Below are 16,820 nucleotides of genomic sequence, written 5' to 3'. Positions count from 1 at the left end.
GCATTTGGTTGGCCTGCCTTATTAGTCCACTGCAACCTAGGTTTCTGTGAATTACAGTGTTGTCAAAATAAGGCTGAATGGAGTATTGTGACTGGCCTATTAAATCTGTTTACCAAAAATGTGTTGGCCGCATCCAAAACTGTTAATAATTCTTGTCATGTAGAATTTACTAATTGCCAACATCTTAATGCTTTTTCAGAGGACTGCAATTACAGATTTGGCTGAGGAGTTCTTCTTAATGTGTTCACGTTTATGGGAAGCGTAGTAACCTGTCTTAACTGGAGAACAAGAGACCAAAAAGTTGGCATGATGTAAGAAGCACTTGGGTCTGTGATTCCATATGTAGGCCATTGCATAGTCAATGGACCACACATGGACAGTTTCTAGCTTCCACTTGACAGAGCTGAGCAGAAAGGCTGGGCCAATGCCCTCATTCAGAAGATGTCATTGGAAGTGCTTTTAGTTAAATCAGTATCAAAATATTCATCAAATGGGTCTTCCTTTCTTCTATCTGCTCTCTTACTAATAACCTCCTAATGAACTTTGCTGGAGTATGATGAAATGTCTTTGACATTCTAACTATGCCCAGATACTTTTTTTAAAGAGAGGTGACATAGTGATTCTTGGCAGGCAGTATTTATTATCTAGATTTTGTCTGGAGACCAACATCATTTGAAGCAGGATAGTGCTCCAGCCATCATTTGGTCTGCACTGTGTCATTTTCATCTGCATTTGTCATTTTCATCACCCTGGATGGTCTAAAACTGTAAAGTTACTTATCCAAAAGGCCCAAGAACTGACAGCCTTCTAGACTCCTGTAAAATGGCCTTCTCTGGGCTGAACTAAGTGAGAAGAAAGAGGAAGTACATTCATGAGCTCCTTTCCTTATCAAAGCACTCCACCAACTCAAGCAGTGAGGAGAGAGTGGGCTCAGCCGTGCCAGGTTGGTACACTCATCCCTGTCCCAGCAGGGATCAGAAAGGGGAGCTCTCTCCCCTGCTGCCCCAGACAGGCTTTCCTGCCCCCTGTGACCAGCCCCTTTTCTCTAAGCTTATGTTCTAGATACCTGACTCTCACCTCCAATCTCAGGTTTTACCAAGAATCTTATCCTGGTTTTGCCCATCCTACTTTGTGGACTTAAAGGGTAAAGAAGGGAACTCTATTGTAAACAGAGACCAGGTATCAAAGTTACTGTGACTCCCTTACTTCCCAGATACACCATTTCAGGGACATGCCTTGTGAGAGGCAGCCAGTCTAGTAGTGAAGGGCACAGCCCCTAGAGCATGGCTTCCTGGGTTCAAATGTGTATGTGTGGCAAACAGGACACTCCAGAAGCCAGGATGTGTGTGTTTGTTTATACAGTTTTCCTTTCCAAAGGCATTTCAGGCAGTTTACAATAAAAGGGCTCTAGACATTGAAGTGGTGAACTAGAAGTTGTAGCCACACGTGGGAGCAGAGAGCAACATGATAAACATGAGAATAATAGGGTTATTTTGATGAAGCTTTCAGTTTAACCCAGTGCATCCAGACAACCAGGGCAATAAGGGCAGCCCAGTGGGTTCCATAATTCTTTCTTTTTGATAGATGGAAGGGTACCTCTTCTTCAAGAGACACCCCTGGTACCCCCAATGAGAGCTTTAAAATAAATTGCCAAAATTATATGAGATTTTTAATCATGGCTCCAATGGTTTAGTCAGATACTTTGTAAAAACCTATGCCATCTTTTTCCTTGGAGGGATGGATGGATGGATGGATGGATGGATGGATGGATGGATGGATACATGGATAACCACCATGTACTTAATAAATGTTTGACTAGTGCATCCTTGGCAGAAAGGGAAGTGGGAAGAGTCCTGGCTGAGATCATGGAGAAACCATCTTAGTTCTGGCCTTGTATTGCATAAACTTGTATTGCATAAACTTGTATTGCATATTGAACAGTCTTAGGAAAATGATTTTTCCTTATAGGACCTCAGTTTGCTCAATTATGAACCAACATGTTATTTCTCCTAGTAATTAGACTAATAGTAATGATAGGTGGTAATTTTTCTAGGTTTTCCAGCCCTGGCAATCTAATTGTGTGGCCTTGAGCCAGTGCTAATTCTCTCTTAGCCTGTTGTCACTGAGAAAGATAGGATTATTGTAAGAATTGAATAAGATAATTCATGCAAACACTTAGCGTAGTGCCTGGTAAAAAGTAAGTGTTCACTAAATTATTATCAGACAAGAAGACAAAAGTCTGTTTTCCATGCTACTCTGATTTTGCAAACCTTGTTCAATCAGTCGTACCCAAATGTGCTGAAGGAACTGATTTGTGGCCCCTTAAGTTTTCACCTATCCTCTCCTTGAGCTCAGGGAGCTCATTCATTTTATGCATGAAACACTATAAGCGCAGTGCTTGGGGCCTACAGATTTTTCAAGGGCCTGCACAACATTTGAGACCTGAAAAAAAAAACCTCATGCATTGCATCTATAAAAACAAAAGGACCCTGCAAAATCAGAAATCAATATTTAATTACATATTAATAGGAAATACATACCAAGCATTTTGTATGTATTATTACTATGTATTATGTATGTATCTATTAAGTACTTTTATGGGTATTAGCACATTTAATCTTCACCATGACTTATTTAGCCCCATTTTATTAATACAAGTGAAGAAACTGAGGCATAGAAACATTTAGAAATTTGTCCAAGGTCACATAACCACTAAACCACGGAGCCAGGATTTGAACGCAGGCAGCACAGCGTCTACTCTGAATGTACACTTTGCCATACTGCATCTCAAATATCTGCAAAGTGTAGCAATATGACAGCTCTTAGTATTCATAAGAAATGTTTTGTGTTTGGAAATTATTTGTAGACTGGCTTTTCTCATTCTGTTGGAATTTCAGACTATGCATGACAATTGCTGAGAAATCAGAGCCTCCCCAAAATTAAATGTTACCCTCAGTGAATAACTTCAAAAGCGCAGGAAAAAAATAAAGCCTTTCACAAAAGATTTCAATAGACATTTCTCAAAAGAAGGCATACTAATGGCAAGCAGGCATATGAAAAGGTGCTCAATATCGTTGATCATCAGAGAAATGCAAATCAAAACTATAATGAGATACAACTTTTATTCCAGTTAAAATGGCTTACATCCAAAAGACGGCAAAAGCAAATGCTGGTGAGGATGTGGAGAAAAGGGAACCCTCGTACACTGTTGGTAGGAATGTAAATAGTTTAACCACTGTGGAGAGCAGTTTGGAGGTTCCTCAAAAACGTAAAAGTTAAGCTATCACGTGATCCAGCAATCCCACTGCTGGGTATATACCAAAAAGAAAGGAAACCAGTCTATCAAAGGGATATCTGCACTCCTATGTTTGTTGCAGCGCTGTTTGCAATAGCTAAGATTTGGAAGCAACCCAAGTGTCCCTCAACAGACGACTAGATAAAGAAAATGTGGTGCATATGCATGGTGGAGTACTATTCAGCCATAGGAATGAATGAGATTCAGTCATTTGCAACAACGTGGATAAACTGGAGATCATTATGTGAAGTGAAATAAGCCAGGCACAGAAAGGGAAACATTGCATGTTCTAACTTATTTTAGGGCTCTAAAAATCAAAACAATTGAACTTATGGACATAGAGAGTAGAAGGATAGTTACTAGAGGCTAGAAACAGTAGCGAGAGTTTGCAGGGAAGGTGGGGATGATTAATGGGTACAAAAAAAAAATAGAAAGAATGAATAAGACCTACTATTTGATAGTACAATGAGGTGACTATAGTCAATAATAACTTAATTACACATTTTAAAATAACTTAAAGAGTATAATTAGATTGTTTGTAACTCGAAGGATAAAAGCTTGAGAGGGTGGATACCCCATTCTCTATGACGTGCTTATTTCACATTGCATGCCTGTTTCAAAACATCTCATGTACCCCATAAATATATACACCTACTATGTACCCATAAACATTTTTTAAAACTGGAATGGAAAAAAATAATTTCAAATGTTTTTTATAGCAAAAGTTACGTTTCACTTGAGACAAGAAATGCATTTGAATATATTTGATGGGACATGAGGTGGAGGCTCTAAAAGCAGACACACACAGAGTCTAGGAAGATCTTTAACTGGCCCTTCCTGCGCCTGACAAAAACACACAAACAAAACATTCACTTAACCAAGGTACTGAGAATCGATAAAGTACAAAGCTCATCACAGGGGTGTTGGAATGCAGAGTGACCAAATAGACCGAATGCCGATGTTCACAAATGAGCTCTCTGGCTCTTGGGATAGAAGACGTGGCAGCAAATGGCAATGCTATGTCTATTGCTAAGTGGGAAGCAAAGCTAGACTCATGTGAAGTCCCTGCCACCCGAGGGAAGAGAGCATGGAGGGATAGGGGCATTTTTGAGAGTCGCTGACCCTCTGGATTCCCCAGTCCCAGGCACTCCTGTGGGGCTGGCCACCTGATGTTCTGACCTTGTCACTCCCTCTTTTGGTGTGGAGTGTCATTCATCAACATCTCAGTTCTTCCCAGGCATCAGTAGCCTGTGCTCTGCCAGGGTTCCTGGGGAACAGATATGGGCACCTCTGTTTGCAACAACTACTCACAGAAAACCAGCTGAGAGCTATGTTGATTGTCCTCCTCAGGTCTGATTTGTTTTAATTATCTAGGTCTGATTTTTTTTTATTATCTTAGCTCCCGAGGGCTGCCCTAATGAAGTACCACAAACTGGGCAGATTAAACAACAGGAATTTGTTGTCTCACATGTGCAGAAGCTACAAATCCAAGGTCAAGGTGTTGGCAAAGTGAATTCCTTCTGAAAGCTGGGAGGATGAATTGTTCCACGCCTTTCCCCCAGCTTCTGGTGGTTTGACGTCAATCTTTGGTGCTCATTGGCTTGTAAATGCATCACTCCAATCTCTGCCTTCATCTTCACATGACATTCTACCTGCCTGTGATCTCTGTGTTCAGATTCCCCTTTTGATGTGGATACCATTAGGGCCCACCCTAATGACCTTATTGTAACTTGATTACCTTTTTAAAGATCCTTTCTCCAAATAAGGTCAAATTCTGAGATTGGGGGCATTGGGATTTTGACATATCTTTTTTGAGAGGGACACAATTCAACCCAAAACAGATACCTATGTGTTTTAGCTTGCTTTCAAAGCTGGTGTTTGTATGAGATCTAATTATTCATTTATAAATTTCTGAGATTGTGCATTAAATGTTTTAATGCCCAAAGTATTCACTGTTTCTCTACTCAGCCCTTTAGCCCAAACCCTCTGATAAACTCCGACTGTGTTTTCGAATAAACCCTTTCTCAGCACTACAGCTCAGTGCCAATTGTGAGCCTTTTCACCCACCACAGTGGACCACAGGTGGGTGGAGTTGATAAATTGGGCAGCAAACCTCTTTCTCAGTGGGTTCCCCGACAAGAGGCCTGTATCCAGGATGGTGATAAGTGAGGGCAAAATGACTCCCAAAGAGCAGGTTAACAGGTTGACATGCTGCTTTCCTGGTCCAGGGTTCAAAATTACAAGGAAAGGGCATACGATAATCATAGCTGAAGTTGGTTTAGAGAATTCTGAAACTACCAATTGAGATAGGTTTGGAGTGTGGCGTTGTGTACTGCATTTATCTCATCTGAAGGGCTTGACAGCTCCTAAGGAGATAAACACGTTGGAAGATGTACTAGAAGAAGCGTGGAGCTGAATACAAAGCAGCACTGCCTGTTCTGCAGTGACTAGGAGAAAAGGCAAGTTCGTATTCAGGCCCAATATGCTTGGTAGACAGCTAATACTGTCCAGCTGGGCATAGTGTGCCCCAGAACTAAGGAATGGCAATCCTGGGTTATTTGGAAGATTCGATGTCTGCTGGCTAAGGAAAGTAGATGTGGATGGAAGGTTGGTGCACTGAGGGACGTATAAACTCCCAGACCCCAGGTCTTCATTAATCAGGTTTTGGGTTGCTATTTGGGAATGAGAGCAATAGATGCAGATCATCAGCTTTTCCAAGAGAAGTCAAAAATCAGGAATTTTATTAACATAAAATTGCTAATTTTTAAAATGTTGGCTACTATTTTGGTTTTTGTGTTTTGCTTGTTGGTTGGTTGGTAGGTTGGTGGGTTTTAAGATTGAGCAGGCTAAAGAATACATGTCAGTGGGCCAAATGTAGCTGTTAGGCTGCTACTTTGGAACTCCTCTTCAAGAACCATCTTCTGTTTTAAAATATTAAAATCTAATGTATTTTAACTCAGCAACCAGCTAGGTAGCTGAAATGGTCTGGCTGTGTGTCCCCACCCAAATCTCATCTTGAATGGTAATCCAAATTGTAATCCCCATGTGTTGAGGGAGGGAACTCATGGGGAATGATTAGATCATGGGAGCTGTTCCCCCGTGCTGTTCTTGTGACAGTGAGTTCCCATGAGATCTGAGGGTTTTATCAGGGGCTTTCCCCACTTCAGTCTGCACTTGTCTCTCCTGCCGCCATGTGAAGAAGGATGTGTCTGCTTCCCCTTCCACCATGATTGTAAGTTTCCTGAGGCCTCCCCACCCATGCAGAACTGTGAGTCAATTAAACTGCTTTCCTTCATAAATTTCCCTGTCTGGTATTTCTTTATAGCAGCATGAAAACAAACTAATACAGTAGCTTTTCTTCACTCCTGCCTTACCCTTTTAGGTTGAGCAAATTCACACCATCAGTAAGATTACTTAGTTCTTGTTATTGGTAAATTTGAAAACCACATATCCATCGGTTGGCTCTAGGAAATCTGAATCTAAAAACATCCAGCAGTAAACCAGTAGGGGGTGTGTGGATCTCCACAGTATCTTGTAGACATGTGCCTGCACCTACCTCACCAAGACAGCTGCTCACGTCACACCTCCCTGTTGAGACAATTCTGTGTGTCACCCACAAGGGCAGTAGAAATTGGGGAACCCCAAGCCTTTTGTTATGATCACTATTATTATTATCAGCATCATTATTAGAACAGTGATAATAATAGCTTTCAATCACTAATTGTCTTCATATGTTATGCCACCTCTGTTAAGCCTGTTGTTGAAGGTAATCCACACAGTAGCCTGCAAAGGTAGGTGCTGCTGTCTCTGTTTCCAGGTGAGGAAGCTGACTTAGTCACCGAATCACACAAGGAGTTAATATGATACATCAGGGAATTTAAGCTATTTCTCAGAGGTTTTATAGTTTTTTGACTTCATAGTTCAATGGGGAGGTGGAGGGGATATGATCCTATACTTTGGCATTTAAAATTTTTTTGTAAAAGTGTACAAGTAAAGCTAACTTCTTTAGAGATATTAGCAACATTTCAAGTCAAAACAAACCAAAAAGAAAAAGAGAAAGAAGAGAAAGAAAATAAAAATAGAAGCGTTTCCTATTATGTTACTATCTAGTCTAATACTTCATGGAAAGGAAAGCCGAAAGAGAGCCACCTGTTGCCTGAGAAGAGTTGGCAGTAGCTGGGACCTCAGTTATCAGTCAGCTCTCAAGACTGAGCCTGCCTGAGGCAGCCAGCATGGAAATGTGTTCACACATACAAAACTGATCAGTTTTACAAAGTGGGGATTTGAAAATCCAAGAAGTTCAGATTAGAATGTAATAAATGGAGAGGGACTCAGCGTGACTAAAATAGATGGAGCACAGAGTATCTTCCTACACAAGAAGGGAAGAAACAGTGCAGCAAACCAGGAAGATAAATACCTCCTGCCTTCCCTTTCTAGGTCCAGGGAGAAGTGAGTCATGGACCATGCCAGAAGAGACTGTTTCCTCCCTGTTGGGCTCTGACACTTGCAGTTGGTAGCCCCCACTTTGGTGGGAAATGATTGTGCATTAAGCATCATTTCCGCCCAAATTATTATTATTATTATTTCAAAACAAATCTGGAAGTTCCATCTTGGAGTGACTTGCTTTAATATTTTGTGGACATCTTAAATCCACAGCTTCACTGGTTGGGTCCAAACACAGTTCGACACTCCTTCAGCTGTACATTCTCCTGTGCTCACAGCATCTGCTTTTCAAAAGAGCTGATTTCACAGAGCTGTTTTACATCAGTAAGTGATTATGTTTGATTGAAACAAAATAAAGGAGAAGTTTTCTATGTCAATATTATGTTCCTACTTAGAGAAAACTGAAAATAGAACTTGAGAAGGCAAGGAACTTAATCTAAATGCAGAAGCTCATGAGTGAGAATTTTTCCATTCCTGATTTTTTTTTCCAGGTAAAAGAGTCACTTAATTAATATGTATAAGGTGATCACTGTGTCCTCAGAACTATCCTGGAATTCCATTATGAATAAAAAACAGTTCCTGCCTTTGGATAGCTTTTAATAAATCAAAAGTCACTGAGTGAACTCCATGGACAGCTACTTGTACAGTGTGTTGCACTAGGTTTGGGGATGGGGGTAAAAATAAATCTAATGCTTATTCTATGACTGACTTGCCGCCTTTCAAGTGAGTTCCTGGGCCTCAGGCTCCTCACTTGTGGGAGGCAGAATAACAGTTCCTGCCTTGTACATCTCATAGGGACGTCATGTATATCACACAGAATAATGTTTGCGCAGCCCTTTGAAATCATTATGCAGTCCCCATCCTTAAGAAATGTGCTTTGAGGTCAGGGATACCTGACAGAGAAATGTAAAATGACCAGTGAAGACCCCTGGGTGGTCTGTGCTCAAGTGCCAACTATTTGGTGGTTGACTTCAAATGCCATTGGAAAGAGAAGCTAAAAATGGAACCATTTGGTAAAAGTACGGATTTTTCAAAATATTTAGACATTTAGTGTTTTATAGCAACTCCATATCTGCCATTCACAGGTGTTGAAATTGATGCAATGAAGATTCTTTACCATGTATCCTGAGGAAGGCCTGTTCTGTTAGGATTCCCCCAAAGGCAGTCTAGCTGCTTGGGCTTCAGCATGGCATACAGAATGTGGAGGGAACATTGGGGAGGGGCACTTACCAGTACCCGAATATATACCTCAGTGCCATGCTGAGGGATTGACCGAACTCCTTGGGAAAGGCTATTTCCTACCTTTGATTAACTATGTACCTTTAAATTTTAGAGTAGGTCTTGGATCTATGCACCTGTGTGAGTATGGTGATTATCTAGCTTTTAATCTGATTCCACCTGCCATAGGCAAGTGAAAATGGAGCTTAAGGTACCTGGGGAAAATGTGTGAGTTATGATAGTTGCTTTCTAAATAGAAAGGGAAAGGTTCCTTATACCGAATTTCATATTCCAGAGAATATGCACACATTATACATTAATTTAATAAAATCACAATCCCAGAAAAGAGACAGTGTGACTTACTAGCTCTTTAAAAGATTTAGCAACTTGTGTAAACCATTGCATTCATTGTGGATCCCGCCATCCATGATTCACAGCCCAAAGGGACTGCAGTTTGACTACATCATGGTTTACATTTTCAGTTTGTGAAGAATAAATGGTTGAGACTGAGTCCCAGCTGGTCTCCAGGAGATACATATTTCCATGGAAAACTGAAAGAGCACAGAAACCAAATGTAGATAGCAGACAATTTTAGCTGCATAGTTTAGTTTCCATCAGGCCTGTTTTGATCTGTTATAGACCTAACCATGAGAATAAAAGCATCTTCTCTCGCCAGGCTAACAGCTGTTTCTCTCTTCTAGTGTTCTGTTTCCTGTGGTGGTGGAGTGCGGATTCGCAGTGTCACATGTGCCAAGAACCATGATGAACCTTGCGATGTGACAAGGAAACCCAACAGCCGAGCTCTGTGTGGCCTCCAGCAATGCCCTTCTAGCCGGAGAGTTCTGAAACCAAACAAAGGCACTATTTCCAATGGAAAAAACCCACCAACACTAAAGCCCGTCCCTCCACCTACATCCAGGCCCAGAATGCTGACCACACCCACAGGGCCTGAGTCTATGAGCACAAGCACTCCAGCAATCAGCAGCCCTAGTCCTACCACAGCCTCCAAAGAAGGAGACCTGGGTGGGAAACAGTGGCAAGATAGCTCAACCCAACCTGAGCTGAGCTCTCGCTATCTCATTTCCACTGGAAGCACTTCCCAGCCCATCCTCACTTCCCAATCCTTGAGCATTCAGCCAAGTGAGGAAAATGTTTCCAGTTCAGATACTGGTCCTACCTCGGAGGGAGGCCTTGTAGCTACAACAACAAGTGGTTCTGGCTTGTCATCTTCCCGCAACCCTATCACTTGGCCTGTGACTCCATTTTACAATACCTTGACCAAAGGTCCAGAAATGGAGATTCACAGTGGCTCAGGGGAAGAAAGAGAACAGCCTGAGGACAAAGATGAAAGCAATCCTGTAATATGGACCAAGATCAGAGTACCTGGAAATGACGCTCCAGTGGAAAGTACAGAAATGCCACTTGCACCTCCACTAACACCAGATCTCAGCAGGGAGTCCTGGTGGCCACCCTTCAGCACAGTAATGGAAGGACTGCTCCCCAGCCAAAGGCCCACTACTTCCGAAACTGGGACACCCAGAGTTGAGGGGATGGTTACTGAAAAGCCAGCCAACACTCTGCTCCCTCTGGGAGGAGACCACCAGCCAGAACCCTCAGGAAAGACGGCAAACCGTAACCACCTGAAACTTCCAAACAACATGAACCAAACAAAAAGTTCTGAACCAGTCCTGACTGAGGAGGATGCAACAAGTCTGATTACTGAGGGCTTTTTGCTAAATGCCTCCAATTACAAGCAGCTCACAAACGGCCACGGCTCTGCACACTGGATCGTCGGAAACTGGAGCGAGGTAAGACATTTCCTACCCCTGGCCTGGTTTTACATGGAAAAAAGCTAGGAGTGTTAAATTCATGTGAAAATTTCAAAATGAGTTTGCATTAAAATATATTCTATTGTGAAAACAAAAGGAAGCAATCAGACCCATGCCCTCCCCTCCCTCCTTACCCCCATAACTCTTTAAATGGAAAAAAAATTATGTAAATTATATAACTTGTGAAATTGTATAGATATATTGTCTAGCTTTTAATCTGATTCTACCTGACCCAACCAAATGAGAGTTCCTGCCGTGTACAATTCTGAAGGATGTTGTGTATATCACACAGAATAATGTCTGTGCAGCCCTTTGAAATCATTATGCAGTCCCCATCCTTAAGAAACCTGTTTTGAGATCAGGGATACAAGACAGAGAAAGGTAAACTGACCAGTGAAGACCCCTGGGTGGTCTATGTTCAAGTGCCAACTGTTTGGTGGTTGACTTAAAATGTCATTGGAAAGGGAAGCTAAAAATTTATATATAGGGAAGGAGAACAAATGTAGTGAGATATAGTGAAAAGTACCCTGAACTAAGCTAGGAAGCCTGGGCATTCGGCTGTGTGATTATGTCGAATTCATCTATCTTTCTGAGCCTTTTTTTTGGCCTACAGAATGATAAGGCAAGTGTAGATTATCTCTAATGTCCCTTTCAGCTATAAACTACAATGATCCTATGATGAAGGATGACTGAAAAGGCCTGATTCACATTTCTCAAAAACCTAGTTTTGAGACTTGGTTTAAAATTGTGAAGTAATCACAGATGGAACGGAAACCTAAGACAAAACTTGTTAAAACAATTGTATAGCTCGCCATATCAGTGATTTTTTTTCTTTTCTTTTTGGTTTGTTTGAGTGCTTGCATTTAAAAAATTCATTTTGGCTTATTGAAAGAATTAGAATATAGAGGAAGAAGAAAATAAGCATGATGACATCATGCTGGCCCCTATTTTCATGCTCCAGAAATTTGGCTAGGTATTTGTCTTTTCATTTCTAGAACCAATTACATCCTTTGAAGCATCAAAATCATTTCTCACCTATTTGAAATCTGAATATGCAGTATACAAACTTGTTAATATAATGTAACAATGCAAAAGAGGATTTTGCAGCAAAGTAATCACATGTTCAAATCATTCAGCATTTTTGACATTTCATGACTCATCTCGCCAGTTAAAGTGAAGTAAACTATTAGCAGCTAATATAAAAATAACAATTTGAGTATAACAATTTATAAAGTATGTAATTTACAAACCACTTTCATAGGTAGTCTCATTTTTTCTATTATTATTATACTTTTAAGTTTTAGGGTACATGTGCACAATGTGCATGTTTGTTACATATGTATACATGTGACATGCTGGTGTGCTGCACCCATTAATTCGTCGTTTAGCATTAAGTGTATCTCCTAATGCTATCCCTCCGCCCTCCCCCCACCCCACAACAGTCCCCAGAGTGTGATGTTCCCCTTCCTGTGTCCATGTATTCTCATTGTTCAATTCCCATCTATGAGTGAGAACATGCGGTGTTTGGTTTTTTGTCCTTGTGATAGTTTACTGATAATGATGATTTCCAATTTCATCCATGTCCCTACAAAGGACATGAACTCATCATTTTTTATGACTGCGTAGTATTCCATGGTGTATATGTGCCACATTTTCTTAATCCGATCTATCATTGTTGGACATTTGGGTTGGTTCCAAGTCTTTGCTATTGTGAATAGTGCCGCACTAAACATACGTGTGCATGTGTCTTTATAGCAGCATGATTTATAGTCCTTTGGGTATATACCCAGTAATGGGATTGCTGGGTCAAATGGTATTTCTAGTTCTAGATCCCTGAGGAATCGCCACACTGACTTCCACAATGGTTGAACTAGTTTACAGTCCCACCAACAGTGTAAAAGTGTTCCTATTTCTCCACATCCTCTCCAGCACCTGTTGTTTCCTGACTTTTTAATGATTGCCATTCTAACTGGTGTGAGATGGTATCTCATTGTGGTTTTGATTTGCATTTGTCTGATGGCCAGTGATGATGAGCATTTTTTCATGTGTCTTTTGGCTGCATAAATGTCTTCTTTTGAGAAGTATCTGCTCATATCCTTTGCCCACTTTTCGATGGGGTTGTTTGTTTTTTTCTTGTAAATTTGTTTGAGTTCATTGTAGATTCTGGATATTAGCCCTTTGTCAGATGAGTAGGTTGCGAACATTTTCTCCCATTTTGTAGGTTGCCTGTTCACTCTGTTGGTAGTTTCTTTTGCTGTGCAGAAGCTCTTTAGTTTAATGAGATCCCATTTGTCAATTTTGGCTTTTGTTGCCATTGCTTTTGGTATTTTAGACATGAAGTCCTTGCCCATGCCTATGTCCTGAATGGTAATGCCTAGGTTTTCTTCTAGGGTTTTTATGGTTTTAGGTCTAACATGTAAGTCTTTAATCCATCTTGAATTAATTTTTGTATAAGGTGTAAGGAAGGGATCGAGTTTCAGCTTTCTACATATGGCTAGCCAGTTTTCCCAGCACCATTTATTAAATAGGGAATCCTTTCCTGCTTGTTTTTCTCAGGTTTGTCAAAGATCAGATAGTTGTAGATACGTGGCATTATTTCTGAGGGCTCTGTTCTGTTCCATTGATCTATGTCTCTGTTTTGGTACCAGTACCATGCTGTTTTGATTACTGTAGCCTTGTAGTATAGTTTGAAGTCAGGTAGCGTGATGCCTCTGGCTTTGTTCTTTTGGCTTAGGATTGACTTGGTGATGTGGGCTCTTTTTTGGTTCCATATGAACTTTAAAGTAGTTTTTTCCAATTCTGTGAAGAAAGTCATTGGTAGCTTGATGGGGATGGCATTGAATCTATAAATTACCTTGGGCAGTATGGCCATTTTCACGATATTGATTCTTCCTACCCATGAGCATGGAATCTTCTTCCATTTCTTTGTATCCTGTTTTATTTCATTGAGCAGTGGTTTGTAGTTCTCCTTGAAGAGGTCCTTCAGGTCCCTTGTAAGTTGGATTCCTAAGTATTTTATTCTCTTTGAAGCAATTGTGAATGGGAGTTCACTCATGATTTGGCTCTCTGTTTGTCTGTTATTGGTGTATAAGAATGCTTGTGATTTTTGTACATTGATTTTGTATCCTGAGACTTTGCTGAAGTTGCTTATCAGCTTAAGGAGATTTTGGGCTGAGACGATGGGGTTTTCTAGATATACAATCATGTCGTCTGCAAACAGGGACAATTTGACTTCCTCTTTTCCTAATTGAATACCCTTTGTTTCCTTCTCCTGCCTAATTGCCCTGGCCAGAACTTCCAACACTATGTTGCATAGGAGTGGTGAGAGAGGGCATCCCTGTCTTGTGCCAGTTTTCAAAGGGAATGCTTCCAGTTTTTGCCCATTCAGTATGATATTGGCTGTGGGTTTGTCATAGATAGCTCTTATTATTTTGAGATACGTCCCATCAATACCTAATTTATTGAGAGTTTTTAGCATGAAGGCTTGTTGAATTTTGTCAAAGGCCTTTTCTGCATCTATTGAGATAGTCATGTGGTTTTTGTCTTTGGTTCTGTTTATATGCTGGATTACATTTATTGATTTGCGTATATTGAACCAGCCTTGCATCCCAGGGATGAAGCCCACTTGATCATGGTGGATAAGCTTTTTGATATGCTGCTGGATTCAGTTTGCCAGTATTTTATTGAGGATTTTTGCATCAATGTTCATCAAGGATATTGGTCTAAAATTCTCTTTTTTTGTTGTGTCTCTGCCAGGCTTTGGTATCAGGATGATGCTGGCCTCATAAAATGAGTTAGGGAGGATTCCCTCTTTTGCTATTGATTGGAATAGTTTCAGAAGGAATGGTACCAGTTCCTCCTTGTACCTCTGGTAGAATTCAGCTGTGAATCCATCTGGTCCTGGACTCTTTTTGGTTGGTAAGCTATTGATTATTGCCCCAATTTCAGCTCCTGTTATTGGTCTATTCAGAGATTCAACTTCTTCCTGGTTTAGTCTTGGGAGAGTGTATGTGTCGAGGAATTTATCCATTTCTTCTAGATTTTCTAATTTATTTGTGTAGAGGTGTTTGTAGTATTCTCTGATGGTAGTTTATATTTCTGTGGGATCAGTGGTGATATCCCCTGTATCATTTTTTATTGTGTCTATTTGATTCTTCTCTCTTTTTTTCTTTATTAGTCTTGCTAGCGGTCTATCAATTTTGTTGATCCTTTCAAAAAACCAGCTCCTGGATTCATTAATTTTTTGAAGGGTTTTTTGTGTCTCTATTTCCTTCAGTTCTGCTCTGATTTTAGTTATTTCTTGCCGTCTGCTAGCTTTTGAATGTGTTTGCTCTTGCTTTTCTAGTTCTTTTAATTGTGATGTTAGGGTGTCAATTTTGGATCTTTCCTGCTTTCTCTTGTGGGCATTTAGTGCTATAAATTTCCCTCTACACGCTGCTTTGAAATGTGTCCCAGAGATTCTGGTATGTGGTGTCTTTGTTCTCGTTGGTTTCAAAGAAGATCTTTATTTCTGCCTTCATTTCGTTATGTACCCAGTAGTCATTCGGGAGCAGGTTGTTCAGTTTCCATGTAGTTGAGTGGTTTTGAGGGAGTTTCTTAATCCTGAGTTCTAGTTTGATTGCACTGTGGTCTGAGAGACAGTTTGTTATAATTTCTGTTCTTTTACATTTGCTGAGGAGAGCTTTACTTCCAAGTATGTGGTCAATTTTGGAATAGGTGTGGTGTGGTGCTGAAAAAAATGTATATTCTGTTGATTTAGGGTGGAGAGTTCTGTAGATGTCTATTAGGTCCACTTGGTGCAGAGCTGAGTTCAATTCCTGGGTATCCTTGTTAACTTTCTGTCTCGTTGATCTGTCTAATGTTGACAGTGGGGTGTTAAAGTCTCCCATTATTATTGTGTGGGAGTCTAAGTCTCTTTGTAGGTCACTCAGGGCTAGCTTTATGAATCTGGGTGCTCCTGTATTGGGTGCATATATATTTCGGATAGTTAGCTCTTCTTGTTGAATTGATCCCTTTACCATTATGTAATGGCCTTCTTTGTCTCTTTTGATCTTTGTTGGTTTAAAGTCTGTTTTATCAGAGACTAGGATTGCAACCCCTGCCTTTTTTGTTTTCCATTTGCTTGGTAGATCTTCCTCCATCCTTTTATTTTGAGCCTATGTGTGTCTCTGCACGTGAGATGGGTTTCCTGAATACAGCACACTGATGGGTCTTGACTCTTTATCCAATTTGCCAGTCTGTGTCTTTTAATTGGAGCATTTAGTCCATTTACATTTAAAGTTAATATTGTTATGTGTGAATTTGATCCTGTCATTATGATGTTAGCTGGTTATTTTGCTTGTTAGTTGATGCAGTTTCTTCCTAATCTCGATGGTCTTTACATTTTGGCATGATTTTGCTGAAGCTGGTACCGGTTGTGCCTTTCCATGTTTAGTGCTTCCTTCAGGAGCTCTTTTAGGGCAGGCCTGGTGGTGACAAAATCTCTCAGCATTTGCTTGTCTGTAAAGGATTTTATTTCTCCTTTACTTATGAAGCTTAGTTTGGCTGGATATGAAATTCTGGGTTGAAAATTCTTTTCTTTAAGAATGTTGAATATTGGCCCCCACTCTCTTCTGGCTTGTAGAGTTTCTGCCGAGAGATCCACTGTTAGTCTGATGGGCTTCCCTTTGTGGGTAACCCGACCTTTCTCTCTGGCTCCCCTTAACATTTTTTCCTTCATTTCAACTTTGGTGAATCTGACAATTACGTGTCTTGGAGTTGCTCTTCTCAAGGAGTATCTTTGTGGTGTTCTCTGTATTTCCTGAATCTGATTGTTGGCCTGCCTTGCTAGATTGGGGAAGTTCTCCTGGATAATATCCTGCAGAGTGTTTTCCAACTTGGTTCCATTCTCCCCGTCACTTTCATGTACACCAATCAGAGGCAGATTTGGTCTTTTCACATAGTCCCATATTTCTTGGAAGCTTTGTTTGTTCCTTTTTATTCTTTTTTCTCTAAACTTCCCTTCTTGCTTCATTTCATTCATTTCGTCTTCCATC

The 16,820-nt window shown here is 40.6% G+C and overlaps 1 protein-coding gene across 7 annotated transcripts in view, besides 1 other annotated feature; it reads left to right on the top strand.

Moving 5' to 3' along the window:
• Nucleotides 1-16,820, top strand: part of ADAMTS12 (ADAM metallopeptidase with thrombospondin type 1 motif 12) — a 368,456-nt gene that overhangs the window by 305,173 nt on the left and 46,463 nt on the right. For 5 of the 7 annotated variants that reach the window (XM_017009905.2, XM_017009906.1, XM_017009907.1 and 2 more), the window contains 2 exons: nt 7,952-8,062; nt 9,658-10,764. In XM_017009905.2, coding sequence (XP_016865394.1) covers nt 7,952-8,062; nt 9,658-10,764 — 1,218 coding nt within the window. The remainder of the gene's footprint in view (nt 1-7,951; nt 8,063-9,657; nt 10,765-16,820) is intronic. The other 2 variants (NM_001324512.2, NM_030955.4) reach the window with 1 other exon arrangement.
• Nucleotides 9,576-10,775: an enhancer, noted in NCBI's record as "CDK7 strongly-dependent group 2 enhancer chr5:33576148-33577347 (GRCh37/hg19 assembly coordinates)". NCBI's record gives its function as "activates an origin of replication core promoter dependent on BRD2, BRD4, P300/CBP, MED14 and CDK7 cofactors, with strong dependence on CDK7, by STARR-seq in HCT116 cells {active_cell/tissue: HCT116}" and the evidence as "EXISTENCE:reporter gene assay evidence [ECO:0000049][PMID:35650434]".

Source organism: Homo sapiens, chromosome 5, assembly GCF_000001405.40.
Source record: "Homo sapiens chromosome 5, GRCh38.p14 Primary Assembly".
NCBI classification, from domain to species: domain Eukaryota; kingdom Metazoa; phylum Chordata; class Mammalia; order Primates; family Hominidae; genus Homo; species Homo sapiens.
This window is presented reverse-complemented; position numbering and strand designations above follow the sequence as displayed.